The 2,783-nt window shown below is 46.0% G+C and overlaps 1 pseudogene; it reads right to left on the minus strand.

Annotated features, from left to right (window-relative positions):
* On the minus strand, positions 750-2,147 carry RCN1P1 (reticulocalbin 1 pseudogene 1; annotated as a pseudogene).

Consider the following 2,783-nt stretch of genomic DNA (forward strand, 5'->3'; position numbering starts at 1 on the left):
ATGACATTCATCTTTTTCCCTACCTCTAAATTCCTTTCTTTTTCACATTATCTTTCTTGATTGCTTTTTAGTAGAAAAACAAAGACATGGATTTATTGTGCATATTAGCAGGTCCATCCTGGAAAATGCATGGAGGTTTCATACACATCACTTACAGTAACAGCTCAGAGTATAAAGTCGAGAAGGAAGAATCTGAAATATTAGACTTATTCTGAAATAAGCTTACCTAGGATGATACCACTTTTGATCAGAATTTCCACTTTCCAACTAGTTAACAGTGGTAAATATATAAAATCTGGTAGTTAAAATACATAGTAGTCACTTCATATTACTGCCTCCCCCAACCCACCCAACTTCTGAAGAACAGAGCTTTTTCAAGTTTTGTTCCCCTTTAAGTTTTAATTTAAAAAAAAATAATAAAAAGGTTTTTTTTGTTTTTTGTTTGTTTGTTTTTTGAGACAGAGTCTCGTTGTGTCGCCCAGGCTGGAGTGCAGTGCAATGGCGCAATCTCGGATCACTGCAACCTCCAACTCCCAGGTTCAGGTGATTCTCCTGCCTTAGCCTCCCAAGTAGCTGGTACTACAGGTGCCCGCCACCACGCCTGGCTATTTTTTTTTTTTTGTATTTTTTTAGTAGAGACGGGGTTTCACTATGTTGGCCAGGCTGGTCTTGAACTCCTAACCTCGTGATCTGCCCGTCTCGGCCTTCCAAATTGCTGGGATTACAGGCTCGAGCCAGAACGCCCAGCTGAAAAAAAAAACTTTTAAAAAGTCATGCTGTACCAATATATCCCCAGAGAGAACTGCAATTTACCAAGGTTTTCATGTGTTTTGAGAGAAATCTTACTGAAAGAATAGTAATGTCCATTTTCCAGTAAATACTGAGTGAAAAACAATTTTTATACCCCAATCTGAGGTATAAACTTGCTTTTTTAGGAACACAACTGCTGTAAATTAGACAATTGTAGCAACCATCCAAGACAATAACAACGCCTATGACAGTCTGGCATATTCTGGTGAGTGTCTATCAAAGCTCATCATGATTTTTTGTGGGATCTTCCCCATAATTGGTAGTTTGGCTTCCAACAAACATGTTCCAGTTCTCCAATATTTCCTCTTTAGCCTCTGATTCTTGTTTTTGTCTGACTCATATATACTAGATGCCTGGCCTCACCCTGTGCATGATCATAATCTTGAGAGAGGATCCAGTGGCGAATCTCGTCTTTGTCCAACTTCCGGTCCTTGTTCAGATCCCGGAATTCGTTAAATTGCTCCAGTTCTGATAAAACCCAGTCTGGCTCAGAGCCATTCTCATGGGAAAACATAACCACAATATATTCATCCTGATCCACAAACCCATCACCGTTCTTGTCGTTGTCCTCCAGGGTTTCCAAAACCACAATTTCCTTCATATGCTCAAACTCTTCGGTATGCAGAAAGGCAGTGAACTCCTCCCGAGTGGCTGTCAGGGCGCCATCGAGGTCTGCAGCTTTGAATCTTCTCTCGTCACGCGGCAGCATCTTTTTAAAGGTGTAATGATCTGAAGAATCATGAAACTCCGCGGGGTTTCCTAGGTCATAGGTGGCTTGTTTGTATTCTTCCTAGTAAATTTTATCATCCTTGTCCCTATCGTAATCCCGCCAGACTTTGGCGACATCATCGAAGATGTATCTTTTCTGCACCCGTTTGATCCAGGTTTTCAGCTCCTCAGTAGTGCCAAAGCCATCTCCATCATTGTTGATTCGATCAACAATCTTCCCCAGCCTCTCCTTGCTCTTGTCCGGGGTGAGCTGGTCGAAGGTCTTAGAGTCCTCCTTGCCCAGGAAGGCCTCATGGCGGTACCGGAAGCTCCGGTTGACCTCTGGAAGCCGCTCGCCCAGCTCCGAGTCAGGCCGCACCACGCGCTCCTTGCGCACGGTGGGCTTGGCCCGCAGCGCCCGCAGGCCAGCACCAGCGCCAGCAGCATCTCCAGGACGAGCCCGAGGACTAGCCCCAGGCGGCGGCTGCGGCCACCGCGCGCCATCGTCCAGAGGAGAGGGCGTCCGGGAGGGAGGCGCCGAGTGAGCGACAACAGCGGTAGCTCGGGAATGGGGTCTCGCAGCGCGGCGGCGGCGGCGGCGGGCCTGGGGCCGGCGCGGAGGAAGGGACCCGCCAGTCCCTCCGCCAGGGCCCGCCCCGCGCCGGAACAGAGGTGCGCGCCCCCCGGGCCTCGGGCTGGGAAGCTACGGGCAGCCAATCTGTTTCTATTCATAGTGAACCATAGATGTATGATTGAGTGGGGCCGCAAAAATCATGGCAGTTTTGCTCAACAACCTCATCTCTTCCAACTTCTACACATAATCACAAAATGCATTACCCTAAACAATAGATTCTTCTCGGAAGAAAAGAGACTCAGACAAGTGGCAGTCCGTTATTTCATTCTGTAACAAACTCCTGCCAAAGCTTCATGACTTACCTAAATATTTATCTTGGTCTTAAAATTAGGAAGGAAGATTTTAATTATTGGGATGTATATTAACTCATATATTTCATTCAAAAATGAAGTCTTTTTTTTTATTCTGATGGAAAGTAAGCGTGAATCTCCGCACAGTGACTCATGCCTGTAATCCCAGCACTTTGGGAGGCTGAGGAAGAAGGATTGCTTCAGTCCAGGAGTTCAAGACCAGCCTAGGCAACATAGTGAGACTCCATTTCTAAAATAAATAAATAAATAAATAAATAAATGCCTGTAGTCCCGGTTACTCAGAAGGCTGAGATGGGAGGATCGCTTGAGCCTGAGAGATT

This window comes from Homo sapiens, chromosome 6 (assembly GCF_000001405.40).
Source record: "Homo sapiens chromosome 6, GRCh38.p14 Primary Assembly".
Lineage (NCBI taxonomy): Eukaryota > Metazoa > Chordata > Mammalia > Primates > Hominidae > Homo > Homo sapiens.